Source organism: Homo sapiens, chromosome 3 (genome assembly GCF_000001405.40).
Source record: "Homo sapiens chromosome 3, GRCh38.p14 Primary Assembly".
Lineage (NCBI taxonomy): Eukaryota > Metazoa > Chordata > Mammalia > Primates > Hominidae > Homo > Homo sapiens.
This window is the reverse complement of record NC_000003.12, coordinates 114,340,725-114,358,349: the sequence shown is the minus strand read 5'-3', so window position 1 is coordinate 114,358,349 and position 17,625 is coordinate 114,340,725. Positions and strand designations below refer to the sequence as shown.

General features: G+C 41.2%; 1 protein-coding gene and 1 long non-coding RNA gene across 19 annotated transcripts in view, besides 1 other annotated feature; one reads left to right on the top strand and one right to left on the bottom strand.

Annotated features, from left to right (window-relative positions):
* ZBTB20-AS1 (ZBTB20 antisense RNA 1) overlaps positions 1-6,539 on the bottom strand; it is a 37,168-nt gene extending 30,629 nt beyond the window's left edge. The window contains exons 1-3 of the long non-coding RNA NR_038993.1: positions 6,394-6,539; positions 2,169-2,297; positions 1,123-1,182 (exon numbers count right to left, since the gene is read on the bottom strand). This is a non-coding gene — a long non-coding RNA (ZBTB20 antisense RNA 1). The remainder of the gene's footprint in view (positions 1-1,122; positions 1,183-2,168; positions 2,298-6,393) is intronic.
* The window catches only part of ZBTB20 (zinc finger and BTB domain containing 20), an 832,789-nt gene that overhangs the window by 788,939 nt on the left and 26,225 nt on the right, over positions 1-17,625 (top strand). For 17 of the 18 annotated variants that reach the window (NM_015642.7, NM_001348801.3, NM_001348800.3 and 14 more), the window contains one exon: positions 6,472-8,076. The exons of the other annotated variant lie outside the window; for it this stretch is intronic. In NM_015642.7, the coding sequence (NP_056457.3) occupies positions 6,492-8,076 (1,585 nt within the window). In that variant the 5' untranslated portion in view covers positions 6,472-6,491. The remainder of the gene's footprint in view (positions 1-6,471; positions 8,077-17,625) is intronic. 18 annotated transcript variants of the gene reach the window in all.
* Positions 1,697-2,338: an enhancer, noted in NCBI's record as "OCT4-NANOG-H3K27ac-H3K4me1 hESC enhancer chr3:114074859-114075500 (GRCh37/hg19 assembly coordinates)". NCBI's record gives its function as "activates a minimal SCP1, AML or CMV promoter by ChIP-STARR-seq in naive H9 embryonic stem cells {active_cell/tissue: H9 hESC(naive)}" and the evidence as "EXISTENCE:reporter gene assay evidence [ECO:0000049][PMID:30033119]".

The window sequence follows — 17,625 nt, the reverse complement described above, 5'->3', positions numbered from 1 at the left end:
AGCAAATGTTTTTCTAGTTCTCAATTTTGCCTCTTTGTTCCCCATACTTCAAACTTAGTAAAACTTCGTGGTATGACAGCAAAAAGGAAGAAAGGGAAGGAGGAAAATAGAAAGAAAGGCAGTCTCCCCATTACAAGTGCTATAGATCTTGCAAGTAAACTATTTTTTTGGCTGATTAGATGTGTATATTGAGTTTATATTTATTTTTTATTCAAATTATACCACAATATCTAATTTTTAACAGTCAAAAGATGTTAAAGGGTGTTTTCTAATTCTTCTGTGGATTTGTCTTAACTGTCAAAAGGGACTTACTCTGAGTAAAACAAAGTTTGCTAAATAATAGTTAGCTTCAACAGTTGTAAACTATATGTCTGTCATAATCCAGATTTCTGCTAATATTAGTAGTTACCTACATTTCTCTCTTCCCTTTCAATCTTTTTAAAAAATATTTCTCTTCTGAAAAGTAACTTTTCTCATTTTGGCCAAGATTGTTTGCTTTCTCATACAAAATAGTATCAGCTCAACTTAAGTAAATGGAAAATATCAGTTCAACAGACCTTATGCATCAGAGTAATGCAATCACAAAGTTTGCATCAGTTTTAGAAGCTTTGATTATGGAAAGTAGTTACAAGTATTTTAAAGAGGGATGCCTGAATCTCAATCCACAGCTCTTAATTTGGGGAAAACACAGACCCCTTTGAGATTTTGATGAAAGCCACTGACCTTATTCCTATAAAAGTATAAACATGTCCATTTATAAAAACTATACATACCCCCCAAAACCCAAACATAAAACCAAGGACCTTTAAATACTTTTAAGTATTCTCTAGAAATGTTCTATGAATGAATAAAAATTCAGGTAATATTAAAGGCATACCCAATTACAGTATTGGGATCATAAATAGAATGGTGTTGTAAATACTGTAAACAAGTTAGTAATTTTTAATCTTTGTCTAGATAAAATAATAAGTAGTGACTAAAAAAGCACATCCAGCTAGTCCCCAACTTTCATAGGTAGCCATTCCTGCAAACATGTTTGAAAGTCAAATTTCTGCAAGTTCGAAGTCAAATTTCTGCAAATTTCAACAATTGATATATGTTTTATGTGAAGAATTCTGTTACCAATGGCTAAAAAAACGTGCTGAAATCCTTGATGGTTCCTCCACACTGGGCTTAGACAATCTGGAAGATAGAGGAGAACCTTTATTGGGAGATGGCCCAAAACACCCCCCTTTTCACCCAAGAATGGGTAAGTAAAACTGTACAGCTCGCCCTCCCATAGGCTGATGACCCTCCCTAGTCTCACTACAGAGGTAATAGCAGCTGGGATATGCTAGGTATATAGAGCCAAGATAGGAGAAAGAGATCTTGTCTGCTTGCTGCCTTCCACTTGCATGTGTGATTTCTCCAGTGCTCCCAGCCACCTCCCAAGACTGTGATGATACTAATGAGATAGAAAGAGAGAGTGGGGTGGTGCAGAGTCATTTGCTGTGGATGGAACCTGTTAGCAAGAAACTACTATACCTCCTATAGTGCAGGGATTCAGCAGGACTCCCTTGGCATATATGAGGAGGTAAAGTACATGTAACTGAAGTCTTACCCCAGGCAGGGGGTTTGGAGAATAAGGGGGCTCAGTCACCAAAATACATCCCCCCTTTCTCCAGAGATGACTGGCTCTTTCCTAGTGTGACTAACTTGGCAAGCTGCACCCTGTTTCATGTGCAAGACCCACTAACCTCATCTGGTGCCCCAAATTGAAAGCTCAAGGGCTTTCTGGCCCTGCCACTTGACTTAGGCTTATTAACTGGACCGAAATTTATATTGGTTTTCATTTGAGAGCTGATGTTTCCTTCCAAGTCCAGAGACTTCAAATCCCCATCCCCCTCTGTAGCATCTTACCCTTGCACTAGTCTCATTTTATATATCCTTTTGCTCTCCTGATTGAGAAAGAACTGGATTTCACACCTAATTAAAAGAGATTGTATTGCCTGCTGTTTCCTTTCTTGCTCATTTTCTCTTGTGAGCAGGCAGCTTTTTATTCTCATGCTAAGTCCTATCCCTGGACCCCTGCAGCTTAAGGGACAGGCAGGAGCAACGTTCCTGCAAAACAGAGAGTCAGGCCCTCTATCCCCAATTCCCCACAGGCAGATTTTCCCTTCGGTACTCACCCCTGCTTTAGCCCCGTCTGTGTTGTGCTCTCGCAGAACAGTCTCTTAGAATACATGATGACTTTCATTACTGCAATTCCTTCCATGTTTTGAGGGAATGCCATCACAAGCTGACTCTGTATTTTTACTCTAGTAAAAAGGAGGTAAGTTATTATTTTAAAACACAGAGAACTATTTTTATCACTATTTCATTTTGCCATCAGTTTTGTGTTCATAACACTGTGCATTTTTTATTTTGGGTGGGGAAGAATCCCCAAATACACATGATCACATAATCTATGTAAAGTTTTGTGGTTTTGTACAGTTGATAGGGTTGGGGTTTGGGTGTGTGTGTGTGTGTTTTTTTTTTCTTGAATAGCCCAAATGCCTATTCAGTGCCAATCTAAGAAAGAATAGAGTTAGCATTTTCACACCATTCCTTCCTATACACTCCCTGAATAACCATCTAATCAAGATTTGTTTTCAATGGGGGACAAATCTTCTACAGTAGAGTATTTCAGATTTATTCCATTGGAATCTATACATTAATGCCCATTGGATGAAAAGGACATGCTCACAAAAGCCTGGACTTTGCCTTGCTGTGGCAGAAACTTTTTCCCACTGTATTAGTGTTAAAAATAAAAGAAAGCCTGGGAAAGGAATTGCCTCAGCATTGTGTGCTGGAGGAATGAGGCATGCTTGAATGGGGAGGCAGGGTCCCCCTTCGCATCTGTACTCATATCAGCAAAAACGATTCAGCTTTTCATGGCTGTTCACTGCAGTGTGGGGCCAGTGTACTCAGGGAGATATTTAAGAATTGTGTGTATAAAATTCAACCAGGCATGTCAGATCAGGTTGTGTACGTGTGCAGGTTTAGGTTTGTCTCTGTGGTTTTTAATGAAGTTGGTGGCAATATTATCGCAAGAGTCTTAACTCAGACTATTCAGTAGATAACTTGATTGTTTAGATGAACAAAATTTGCAATCCAATCTGGTCAAACAGTTTGGATTTTTCTCATGGAATTGTGTGTGTGTGTGTGATTATCTGTGTTCATTTCTTATCTCTAAAGCAACCTTCATCATTACTTTCAGTGTCTTTCTTTTTTCTCTGCTGAGAATTAAGATAACTCTCGATCTTTGGGCACTTCAAGTTCCATTCCTCAGTGATCCACTGTTATGCAGTGGAAAAAGCTTTAAGAGGCATAGTTTCTAATCCCAACACTGCCATGTGCTACTGTGCAAAACTTTGGGCAAGTCATTTAGACATTTTGAGAGCCTCGACTTTCTCTTATATGAAATAGCAATAATAAGACTTGTCCTGAAGGGCTGGGCACAGTGGCTCATGCCTGTAATCCCAGCACTTTGGGAGGCCGAGGCGGGCAGATCACCTGAGGTCAGGAGTTTGAGACCAGCCTGGCCAACATGGTGAAAACTCATCTACTAAAAATACAAAAATTAGCCAGGTGTGGTGGTGCATGCCTGTAATCCCAGCTACTCGAGAGGCTGAGGCACAAGAATCGCTTAAACCCAGGAGTTGAAGGTTGCAGTGAGCTGAGATTGTGCCACTGCACTCCAGCCTGGGCAACAGAGCAAGACTCTGTCAAAAAAAAAAAAAACAAACAAAACAAAACAAAAAAAAACCTGTTCAGAACACACATAGGATTGTTGTAAGGAATAAATGAGATGTTACATGTAAAAAAGTTGTATACACAGTCAAACACTACATGGATACTAATTATTGTGATAATTGTGATAGGGCTACTTCCCAGAATTATCTGAAAGAAAACTGTCATATATGACATCTCTAGTGTTATTGTTGTAACTAATGTTATGAGCAAATGTATGTTTAAAGAGTGTTTTCACTTGTGTAGAAAAAAATGTTGTAATAAATCCATCCTACACAGAGATGATCACAGACACAACCAGTTTTACTGCTTATTGTTTTACTTAAATGAAAGAGACCTTGGTTATAGTAAAATTGTATATAGAAAATCCTAAACCATAGTGCCAGTTAGTTGTCTTACTTCTTGCACTGTGACATCTAAAAAAATAAGTCCTTTAAGTTACACAACTGAGGCTATGTCAAAGCATCACAGCCTAAAAACATAAAAGCCACACTAAATCACGGATAGGTATAGAAGTAGCTGGAGGTAGTAGTGGACAAAGCCTTTCACACAGCTTTACAACAGAGCCGTGGATCCCTAAGGGCCAGACCTCAGTAAAGGGCAAACTATGCAATATAATGAAGCAGTTAAGAGGGTGAACTCTAGAGCCAGACTGCCTGGGTTTAAATGCCAGTCTACCAGCAATTGCCTGTGTGTACTTGAGCAAGTTTCTTAGTTTCTCTGGCCTCAGTTTCCTCATCTGTAAAATGGGAATAATATCATCTACTTCCCATGGTTGCTGTAAGATTAAATGAAATCATATACAGAAAGCAGTTAGAACTGTAACCCCTAAAAAATGTTATCTTGTGATTACTATCATGGTATGTATGTATGGCGAACTCAGCAAGAACTTGAAATTTGGTCTGCTGCTGATTGAGCTCCTGAACAGCCCTTCCTGGGTTATTTGTGCCTTCTTTTGGGGCCATATTTTGTGTTCACATGGTTACAGGGGATTTACCTTAATTCTTTAATCTGGCAAAGAGAACTTGTCTTATATAAGTAAAAACGATGGAATCTGTAGCCTAATACAATATTTTAGGCACATAACAGACCTGATAGAGTCAGAACGAGAAAGAATGCTCTTATACAAATTAGTGCAAATTGTATTATTGAACATTTATTAAGTTAAGCTCATACCATGTGAGGGTGATTGAGTGAAGCAAGGTAGAAACGCTCATTGAACTCAGAGTTTCCTGAACAAGTCTTCTATCGCAAGGTAGAGCGGAAAGAGTTTGAGGAGGTAGGCCTTCTTCCTATCTGCAGGCTGTTACCTCTCAGGTGGCTTCTCACAAGACAGAGAGATTTGGGTCCAGGCCAACAATCAGTGCTTGGGCCATTTGGTTTTGAAAGCCCACTTATTTCACTTTCCCAAGCTGATTGTTCAGTTGTAAAGGCAAGAATGGGGAATCTGATTGAAGAATTATTTGGAGGGGGATTCTCTAGAGCCATCTGAGAGATGAGCTAGAAAAATAGAAAAGCCCTAAGATCTACTGCTGTAGCCACCTGTTTTCTTTCTCATTCTGAATCCAAATCTTATCAATAGTATCCCTTGCCATAACAGCCTACGTTATAGGGTGGCGCTGGGTCAGGCTATCCGCAGCCTCCACATAGCTGTTGCCTTCCTCCTGGGAGCTGTTTAATACTTCCCTGTGGCAAGTACATAAAGCACCCTATTACCCAAGGAGATCATATATCCCACTTCTGGCTTACTCCTGCTATCCTGGCCTAATTATTAACAATGCTCTCTTTCACTCTTGAAAGTGCCCTGTTTGCATAATAAATATGATCACCAATGTACTGTAGTCTCCTGGGTCAGAACTGCCATCTCTGACCTTTTTAACATTCCTCCTTCATTAAGCCTCAGAAAATTCAGAAAACCTTCCATATCACATGCAACCACCCTAGAAAGTGCTCAAACAGGTTGTCAGAGATGACAAGAAGAATGAGTAGATACAGAAAGCAGCCATGGAGTGCCCCTTTAGCTAGCAGATTGCTTTCTGTAGCCCATCCATCATCCGGAAAGCATGATCATGACTGTTTGGTAGATATCTTAGTCTGGGTTGAATTTTCCAATAATTTTTGCATACATGGTGTGGGTTTTGATAATATGCCATATGACTTAATAGGAAGGGGGTTTATTTGTTAACTATGAATATGGTCACTGTGTATGAATAAAATAAGGGACTTTGATAAGTTGGGGGAAATGTAAACTTTCCCAAAGAATCTGGGCTTAGGCCTGTCTAAAGTGAAGGCAAAGTAAATAAATACATAAATAAAAATAAAGTGGAGGTTTAGTGTTCCATAAGAACAAGTCTTCCATTTGCCTTTCAGTTCTTTGCTGAAGCTGTAGGAATAGCAGGCAAACAAATCATCTGGTTATTAGGCCACTCTACCTCAGCCGAAGCTCTGGGGAGTTAATATGGATACCCAAAATGGCTGCGGCACTAAAGGCCGGAATTGGAGCAAAATTCAAGGTCCTTTTCCCTCAGGTCATCGTACCTACAGCTTGTATGCCGCAGCCTGTCCATCTCCCCACTTGCGTATGTAAGGGCAGTGCTTCTAGGAGCCATGAGCATTACTCACCTGAAACCTAGGTGTTAGGAATGCAACCAGCTAGATCTGACCCATGCCCTGTTTTGTGTCTGCGTTGACATGCTGCAGGTGACATCAGTTGCAAGGGGATGACCGAGCGCATTCACAGCATCAACCTTCACAACTTCAGCAATTCCGTGCTCGAGACCCTCAACGAGCAGCGCAACCGTGGCCACTTCTGTGACGTAACGGTGCGCATCCACGGGAGCATGCTGCGCGCACACCGCTGCGTGCTGGCAGCCGGCAGCCCCTTCTTCCAGGACAAACTGCTGCTTGGCTACAGCGACATCGAGATCCCGTCGGTGGTGTCAGTGCAGTCAGTGCAAAAGCTCATTGACTTCATGTACAGCGGCGTGCTACGGGTCTCGCAGTCGGAAGCTCTGCAGATCCTCACGGCCGCCAGCATCCTGCAGATCAAAACAGTCATCGACGAGTGCACGCGCATCGTGTCACAGAACGTGGGCGATGTGTTCCCGGGGATCCAGGACTCGGGCCAGGACACGCCGCGGGGCACTCCCGAGTCAGGCACGTCAGGCCAGAGCAGCGACACGGAGTCGGGCTACCTGCAGAGCCACCCACAGCACAGCGTGGACAGGATCTACTCGGCACTCTACGCGTGCTCCATGCAGAATGGCAGCGGCGAGCGCTCTTTTTACAGCGGCGCAGTGGTCAGCCACCACGAGACTGCGCTCGGCCTGCCCCGCGACCACCACATGGAAGACCCCAGCTGGATCACACGCATCCATGAGCGCTCGCAGCAGATGGAGCGCTACCTGTCCACCACCCCCGAGACCACGCACTGCCGCAAGCAGCCCCGGCCTGTGCGCATCCAGACCCTAGTGGGCAACATCCACATCAAGCAGGAGATGGAGGACGATTACGACTACTACGGGCAGCAAAGGGTGCAGATCCTGGAACGCAACGAATCCGAGGAGTGCACGGAAGACACAGACCAGGCCGAGGGCACCGAGAGTGAGCCCAAAGGTGAAAGCTTCGACTCGGGCGTCAGCTCCTCCATAGGCACCGAGCCTGACTCGGTGGAGCAGCAGTTTGGGCCTGGGGCGGCGCGGGACAGCCAGGCTGAACCCACCCAACCCGAGCAGGCTGCAGAAGCCCCCGCTGAGGGTGGTCCGCAGACAAACCAGCTAGAAACAGGTGCTTCCTCTCCGGAGAGAAGCAATGAAGTGGAGATGGACAGCACTGTTATCACTGTCAGCAACAGCTCCGACAAGAGCGTCCTACAACAGCCTTCGGTCAACACGTCCATCGGGCAGCCATTGCCAAGTACCCAGCTCTACTTACGCCAGACAGAAACCCTCACCAGCAACCTGAGGATGCCTCTGACCTTGACCAGCAACACGCAGGTCATTGGCACAGCTGGCAACACCTACCTGCCAGCCCTCTTCACTACCCAGCCCGCGGGCAGTGGCCCCAAGCCTTTCCTCTTCAGCCTGCCACAGCCCCTGGCAGGCCAGCAGACCCAGTTTGTGACAGTGTCCCAGCCCGGTCTGTCGACCTTTACTGCACAGCTGCCAGCGCCACAGCCCCTGGCCTCATCCGCAGGCCACAGCACAGCCAGTGGGCAAGGCGAAAAAAAGCCTTATGAGTGCACTCTCTGCAACAAGACTTTCACCGCCAAACAGAACTACGTCAAGCACATGTTCGTACACACAGGTGAGTGTCACCCCACCTGGAGGCCTGGCAGCAGGGGCTGAGGGGGCTGTGGGAAGGCAAGGTAAGAGAGCAGGTAGAAGGGAAGGTTTGGGATCATCTTTCAGATTTTAAACAGACCCCACCACAAGCCTCTTCTAGAAACCCCAACTGTGTTCCTCCCATCATAAGAACAAAGCACCCTGCCACCAAGAGACACCGTCACAGGAACCCTTTATGGAGAAGGGATGTCCTAGGGATGTCCAGACTGCAGAAGAGAAGACTCAGGTCATTATATAAGCCATATTCAAGTATTTGTGTTTCAGAGGCAGCATACTGTAGTCAGGAAGAGCTTGAGCTCTTACACCCAGCCAGATGGCCTGGGTGTAAATTCAGGCTTAGCTACTACTAAACCTTGTCGCCTTGGAAAAATTACTTAACTTGTCTATACTTCAGTTTCCTTGTGTATAAAATGAGAATAATCGTGATACGCCTTCCTTATAGTGCTGTTTTGAGAATAAATTAATACATGTGAAGTCTTTAGAGTACTTCCAAGCATATAATAAGTGCTCTATAAGTGGTAGCTATTATTAAGATGGTTAAGAGGAGGAGACATTCAGTTTGTATAGTTTGGCTCCAAAAGGTGGAACTAGACCAATGATTGGATGCTATCAGGAGATCCTTTCCACAAAATAAAAGAAAAATTTTGTTAACAATCAGATCTGCTCTAATATCAGATAGACTGCCTTTAAATGGAGTGAGTTTCTGTAATTAGACGCATTCAAGGAGAGAATGGATGAACATTTTTAGGGATTTTGTACACAGGATTCAGTCATCAAGATGGGCAAGATCATGTTTCATCCCTGGATTCTATGATTCCAGAGCTAAGATCTTCTGATCTCTCAGCCAATCCTTTTTCATAGCTCCATAGTGGTACAGAGATATGGAATTCCCATAGAATTGGGCATTCCATGGATGTGCCTCCATATAAGTGAGCACATAAGCGATTGTGATGTCACCTAGATTCTCTTGGACCTAAGAATACCTATAACAGTGATGATCATTATATTTGAAATTCTTTTTTTTTTTTTTTTTTTTGAGACAGGGTCTCACTCTGTCGCCCAGGCTGGAGTGCAGTAGCATGATCTCGGCTCACTGCAGCCTCAACCTCCCGGACTGAAGCAATCCTCCCACTTCAGCCTCCCAAGTAGCTGGGTCTACAGGCACATGCCACCACGCTCATTTAACTTTTTTATTTTTTGTAGAGACAGGGTCTTACCATGTTGCCTAAGATGGTCTCAAACTCCTGAGCTCAAGCCATCTGCCTGCCTCAGCCTCCCAAAGTTATGAGATTACAGGCATGAGCCACTGTGCCTGGCCTCAGAATACCCTTATTAAATGACAAATAATTTACCAGGGAAAAGTTACATACTCGAATTCTGATACATGAAAACAAATTAGTTTCTCAAAACAACCTTGTTTCTCAGATCAGCTAGTAGGAATCCAAGAGAGAAGACATAAAACAGTGAAGTTTAGATTGGGGACTGAAGGGAAGGAAAGCAACAGAGATAGAGGCAAGGCATCAAACATGGAATTGTACAACTGAAACAGAACGTTGCTTAAGATGAACTTTGCCTTCTTTGCAGGGTAATGTAAGTCAGGACATTATGTAAATTAATGTATGTACTTTTATGAGAATCAGTTTTTAAAGATCACAGTATTCACACTTCCAAATAAACAGAGTGACTCACTACTGAATTTATGAAGAAACTTGGGTAGTGGTGAGTTGCTTTGTTTACTTGGGATAAATGTGAATGTACTAATAACCAGAGGTAAATCACAAGAAATTTTCCATATGGTATGGATATCACCATTATTAGGTGAATTAATCAAATAGTAATGTTTTTATTTTGTAGCATCTTATGATTTATAGAGTGCTGTCACATAGTTTATATCCTTTCCTCCCCTGGATAGCTGATTTATAAGCCATTAAATTAAGGAACATGGGGGAGGGGTGCAGGAAGGACCATCTGTGAAAGTATCTCCTTAACCAAAGTTGACTTTGCTGGTCTTGGATCCATAAACATATCTGCTCTCCCCTCTGTACATCTCTTCAAGTAGACCTATCAGATGTAAAATTCACACATTCTGTTAGATCACATAATAAAATAAGTCTTTAAATTTGCAACATAAAATTTTCAATGTACTACCAAAAAGTATCTTCGTGATGTATAAATACATTTCTCCAATGGATTCACTGAAGGATTCTGTGGTTAACCGAGATAACTAGATTTGGACATAAGAAAACCAGCAAAGGATTTGTGCACTCAGACACAGATGCAAAAGCTATAGGTAGAGTCATTTTATAAATCTGAGTTATGCTTAAAATGTGGACTTCAGTTTTCTAGTAAATTATGAACATCCTCAGTAAATTATGAATGTTATTGTAATGGTGTGTATAATATAGCCCCATCTGAAAATAATAATGTGCATATATCAATCAGGCACCTAATTTAAAAGAAGTAATGCTCTTCCCTTTCATTCCAGAATTATTTGGCAGTGGCAGTTTGGAAATCCTATCAGTCTTTCAAGACTATTGTCTAACTGAAGGATCCCCTAACCTAACAAAGTTTTAGAACAATTGGTCTAGATTTCAAAAAGCAAGACAGCCGGAACATGTGGAAATAATTCAAGACCTGGGTTCATTGTAGCTCGCATTTCCAAACAAAGTTCTTTTCAATTTCTAGGGAAAACATAAAAAAATGGAGCCTCAAAACTTTCCAAGAGCCCAGTGGAAGTGATAAAAATTCAAAGCAAAAAGTCCAAATGTTAGTATAAAAAGATTCTAGAAAGCACGGGGATACTTGTAAGAGTAGAGTTGGACTCTGTGTTCCCACCCATACTCTAACCAAAAAGAGTCCTAAAAAAAAAGAATAGCTTGACAAAGTTAAAAAGAAATTTGAGTTCTCTCCATTACAGCTGCTATGCAAACCAATAGACCTGCAGAGTAACTGTCTTAGCAATTCAGTAACTCCAAAGTTTAATATAGATGGTAGTTGCTTTCAACAACTGCAGATATAAATTGTGTGTGATGGTACACACCAATAGTCCCAGATACTCAGGAGGCTGAGGCGGGAAGATCACTTGAGCCCAGGAGTTTCGAGGCCAACCTGGGTACCTATCTCTTAAAAAAAAAAAAAAAAAAAAAAAAAAAAAAAAACCTGAAGAGAATAAATTATAAGATTCATATTCCAATTAAAATCTTGTACTGCTCTATGTTAATGATCCACATTCATGAAAGAAAGTGTTTGGGGCCAGGCATGGTGGCTCACGCCTGTAATCCCAGGACTTTGGGAGGTAAAGGTGGGTGGATCACTTGAGCCGAGGAGTTTGAGACCAGCCTGGACAACTTGGCAAGACCCCAGCTCTACAAAAACTATAAAAATTAACCAGGCATGGTGCTGCATGCCTATAGTTCCAGCTACTTGGGACGCTGAAATGGGAAGATCACTTGAGCCCAGAAGGCAGAGGTTACAGTGAGCGGAGATCACACCACTGCACTCCACCCCGGGCAACATAGCAGGACTCTGTATCAAAAAAAAAAAAAAAAAAAATCTGTTTGAGACAAAGAAGTAGTCCATCATATTGGCTTTGGAGCTAAGCTCTACCTTTAAGAATCAAGGAAGCTTTAGTTGTAAAGCATATTTCATAGTGATTATAACCCAAAAATTTAAAGTAGAGGCATAAATGAAAGACGATTGTACTGTAATTAGATGATTTGGATCCAGTTTTGTTTCCTCTAAATGCCTGTGTGTCCTTCAACAAATCAGTTAATTTCACAACTGTCTATTTCTTTGAGTTTAAAATAAAAATGATTTTTTCTGCCTTTTGATGTAAACGTATGATGCATGTGAGAGCTTTTCAGAAGAGGCAAAGTGTTACTTAATTAGAAAAATTAAAAATCCTCATCATTATTACTTTTCGCCCCTACTACCCAGGAGACACTTAGTTTCTTTGCTCTATTTCCTGTCTCTGAATAATACATGCTTGACATGTGTCCTTCCTCTTTGGAATTTAAACTCTGAAACTCCTTTATACTCCTTAGATTGCTCTTGAATATTCTTCATAACAAGAATTTTTTTATTTCTTAACAATTTTTATAACAGTAAAAGAAAATTGCTCACCTAACCACTCTTTATCCACTGCTAAACAAACCACGGAGGACTTCCTTATCTCTAGGAGTTTCTTTCATTCACTTACTGCAGCTTCATAAAAGTTGTGAGAAAGGAAACTAAGAGTTAAGGGCATGTTTGAAAGCAACAGAATTAGAGAGAAAAAAACAAAGATAATACAAACCATCCTGTCAGGGAAGAAAGCAGTGCTCCCCTCTACCCCCTTCATCAAGAGAAAAAAGCAGAAGTCAAATAAAGGAATGGAAATGAAAGGGAAAGACAGAGAATACAAGAAGGATAAGCCTTGGTGTCAACATGGATGTGGAAGGCAAGCAATAGGGCAAATTCAAAGATAACCCTGGAGCAGTGTGATCCCTACACTAGCAGCATGCAAATTATGTTCCCCCACCCTTCACCCCCACCCCAGACATCCTAAATCAGAAACTCAGGCAATGGAGCCTAGAAATCTGTGTAACAAGCCCTGGTTCATGCTGAAGTTGAGAATCAATTCCCTAGAGAGGTGAGCCTGGGTAATTAGAAGAATGGCATCAGGTTGCTTTTGTTACATAACATTTTTTAAAATTCCACTAATAAGAATCTGTTTAGAAAAAGTAAATCAAAATTATGGATCAAAGCTTGATTTTGTAGTGGATAAATTATATCACAGAAACTAATCACTCACATATGAGGTAAGTTGAGTCTTCCAAATTACATAGGTCACATGGCAAATGTATCCCTTCTGGTATTTAGCAGGACTGACTTGTATTATTCATATCATCATGTATTATCTTTACACCTTCCCTTTAGAATGTAAACTCTGTGAGAGCGGAAACACACACACACAGAGACATACATTTCACACACGTATATATACATGTATATCACACTTTCACATGCCCATTCATTTGGTCAATGTGCACATTCACCGAAAACCACCTGATCTCCAAAAACTATTGAAATAAAATAAATAAAAGAAAATTTTAAAATGTGAACACGCTTTCCAGGAGAATTTAATTCAAGGGACTTATACACAGATACATTCTTTTCACAGCAAGAGTTTTAAATTTCTTTGTTTTTTCTCTTTTTTTATTTGCTATAGAATATATTGTACACATATCTGTGTTCACACTTTCGTGTTTTTTTTTTACCCACAAGAGATAAATATTTTGGCGTTTTCTGAATCATATTATCAACAGCCCGTTCACTGGTGACTGTTTTTAGCCCATTGGTATCCTCTGCACATACGGTAATTTTGCTTATTACTTTGAGAAGTTCAGCTATTTCAGCCATGAATTCAGTGTAAATAGACATAGTAACAATAGTAGCATAACAATGTTGGTGATTGGGCCATAATAGTCATATGAAGATAATGTGTTAATCCTCATATGGAGCTTGGACTATTAATTATATCAAGCCAGTGGGTGTAAAGTAACAAGTATAAGGCTTGGAGTGAGAAGGCCATGATATTACCACTTTCTGGCTGAGTCACTTTGGCTAAGTTCTGTAACTGACCTAAGCCTCAGTTTTTCAGATCTGTAGTACTTACTTTACATGATTGCTCTTTGAATTGAATAACATAATTTATGTGAAAACACTTAATTATGAATGCTGTAAAACTATCAAAGCCATTAATATGTGTTATAGTAGCATCATACATTTTGCAGCATAATCCAGAGAACAAGGAGTTGTTAACAAGGGAGAGGAAGATAATCTGGTTGGGCTAGTATTATACTCTCAGGTGCTACTGACTTCTTAGATGACCTTCAAGATGTTAGTACAACTCTCTACTTGGAGATGCTATTTTCTGGGGATGTTAATATCCACTCTATTCACAAAATTTTAAGAAAAGTCAAGTAGCATGGATGAAACTCTCCAAAGTTCTGCTTAAAACTAAAATATCTTAGTTGTCACTGAAGCCACAGATATTTTGTGAATGCAGCATGTTCCCAATAGGCAGTCCCTCTTAGCCTCACAGTCCAAGCTGGCAACAGGATCACATCCCAGGGAATGAACAGAAAGGCTGGCAGGCAATCACACCGCTGATATCTCAGGTGTGTGGGCCCCCCATTTTTTTTTTGAGATGGAGTCTCACTCTGTTGCCCAGGCTGGAGTGCAGTGGTGCCATCTCTGCTCACTTCAACCTCCACCTCCCGGGTTCAAGTGATTCTCCTGCCTCAGCCTCCTGAGTAGCTGGGATTACAGGCGCCCACCACCATGCCCAGCTAATTTTTTGTATTTTTAGTAGAGATGTGGTTTCACCATGTTGGTCAGGCCGGTCTCGGCCTCCTGACCTCAGGTGATCCACCTGCCTCAGCCTCCCAAGTTACAGGGATTACAGGCGTGAGCCACGGTGCCCAGCCGTGTGGGCCCCCTTTTAAACAGACGTCTCTTGACGGAGACTAGACTCTGCAGCCAGTAAAAGCTCCATATGATTCCATCTGAATGTACTTCCATTGTTAATATGGAACCTTCCCCATTTTCTGGTCGTGTCTTGATGTTCCCCATTCAGAGGACCTGGACTTTCAAGTGTTCCTTCTGCTTTCCTCACCAGTGGCCACCTTCTGCTACCCACCTTCTCCTCTTTCTCCTCCTTCCTTGCTGCCTGCTGTCTCATCAAGCACCCTGTCTTGGTTTTTTGACCCATCACTGTACTCACGAAAGAGGAGGGCATTGTACTAGGGCAGATGATGGGGAGGCAGAGAGAACAGGAGAGTCAGGTAGGAACAGTGCTTCTGAAAAATCTCCTGATAACAGCATTCATTGTCTTTTTCACAGCTCAGGAGAAGCCTTGGTTAAAATGAGGGGAAAAAAATCAGTAGAATAAGTGGGTTCTTGCTGAGCCCCCAGTGCAAGAGGTTCCTATTCAAAATTGGGGTGTCTTTACCCATTAGGATGGCTTTTACTTGAACTTTGTGAGCTTCAGGCAGAACCCTCTGCATCTTCTAACCTAAGCAGGATCTTTCTTCCTTTTTTTTTTTTTTTCACTTTTCAGTCATGGTAGAGTTAAGTGTCAGAGCTGGTCCTTGAGAAGAAGGTGATGAGCAGGCATTGAAAAATTGAGAAAAACGTATACTTTTACCACGCCCAACACCCTTGGCAAGGCAGTAAAGGGCACTGCCTCCCCCTCAGTTTCTTCCCTTGCTGTTTGGTTTCTGTGCCTCCAGTGCTCAGTCACGGGTTTCCTAGGAAATCCTCTGTCTGTGCTCTGTGCTGACATTTTATCCATATACCACTTCTTGCCATTCGCATATGTAATTGAGAGAGTAGACGATACCTTTAACTCTGAATTACATAGCTGCAATATAATCACTTGTTTTACTGATTATCTGAAATAATTTTTTAAAAATTCAGGATTGACTTCCATATGCCATGCAAGTCATTTTGCAGTTGGTTTCATTTATCCTTGGTTCCTTTGTGATGAATGGAACAGTTTAATTTTTCTTAAAATGACCACATGCTCTGTACTAAGTGCTTTATCTCTTCAATTTTCAAAACGCCTTCACGAGACAGGTACTTACTATATTATTCTCAAGTTATAGATAAGGAAACTGAGGCTTATAGAGGTTAAATGACATGCCCAAGTCACTCAGCCAAGGAAATGGAATTCATATCTGACTCCTACATCTGTATAGGCCCAAAATGGATCATTTAAAGTGAAGGAACTTATATGACCTTCCCCTTGATGTTATAATTCAATTATCCACTTTTTACTTTGTGTCCCCTTCTGACAAATCAGACTTGCCATTCCTGACCATAGGCTTAAACCTGGAAAACCATCTCTGACCATTTATCTTCACTTTTTGTTTCTTTACTTGGAGAGCAACAATCGACAGACCTCATCCATTTTATGCATAATGTCTAAAACCATTTTGGGATTGCTGTAAGTAATATGCAAGAAAATAGTGGGAAAAAAAATTTTCTTAAAACACAATCATTCATTCCTGCTGAGTGACTGCGTTTCAAATTCATACAGAAATGAAAGTTGTGAGCACCTCACTAATCTGAAAATATACCCCATTTAGTAAGACAGTTTCTGAAATACCTACACTTCACCATCACAGCACCTTAATAATTATAGAGAGCACCTTCCTTTAAGGAGCTCCCAAGTTCTTTGCAAACATTTCTCTTTATTAAGTAACATACCATTGTTCTGTGGCAGGGAAGGGAACAGGATACTTTGTCTTATTTAAAATGTGAGACTGTTAATGCATTCAGTGACTAAGTAGGTTGCCCTTGGGTCATTCACTGACAAGGCCAGGACTAGAGTCCTCAGGGGTTGCAGTCCACCACGGACTCAGGACCACTAAATCCACAAAGGACCATGTGCAACTGCCTGGTCCAACTCTTCACATACAGAAAATGAAATAAACCCAGAGAAATGAAAACACTTAAAAAGCCCAGGGTCACATGGATAATTAATGGTAGAACCAATACTACATGCACACAAACAACATACCTATATATGCTATAGAGAGAAACATGACAACTATGAGGAATCAATTTATAGACAGATTAGAAGAGTGTGAAAATAAAGTCTTCATCAGTGACCTTGCCTCGAGGAAAAACACACAGAAGGTGAAAGTTTCAAACAGCAGAGCATTTTAACATAGGTGAAGTTTCAACTTCTTAGCAGCCAAAATACCATCTGGAATTTAAGGCACGCTTCCCATAAAAGGTGACAGGTGGACATGTTTTAAATGATAGTTGGCCAGCCTATCATAGCCTCTATAAATCGTCTGAAAGCATGAGGATAGCAAAGACCAGCTGACTTCCAGGCATGTTTACAGCTGACAGAAATGTTTCAGCTAAAAACATGCATGACTGTCTCTCTTAGGGAATCTCTTACTTCAAAAAAAAAAAAGGTACCAATGTAAACACTATGCATAGACTGAAGTCTTCAGCAAATTGAGATTATTAGCAATGAGGCTTCCCTAACCTTTCCTGTTTTAATCTAAAAGTAAAATTATCTTCTAACCATGTGATCTTACGCAGCATACTGTCTGGTCAGTGTGCTTCAAAACATATCTGTTTATGTTTGAAAACACAATAACAACAAATTCCTGATGAGAGAAAGTTTAATAAAATGGATCATGAACATACAGCACTTAATACCAACCCTGCTACATAGTCAGCACTTAATACCAACCTTGCTTCATAGTAAGCACTCAATACATGGTGATTGTTTTCATTGCTGCTATTACCATAATACATCAAAGCTCTCCTATTTCATAATGGGAAAAAATGAAAAACAGTCAAGGCATATATTTTAAGTGGAAGTTAGCTCAAATTTTAAAAGACTTCTTACCTTGATGCATAGTCCAAATGTTGAAATATTATCCTAAGGAGTTTCAGAGGCTTTCAGTTTTAGTTTGGATCATGGAAGGACTTTTTTCTCTGAGGT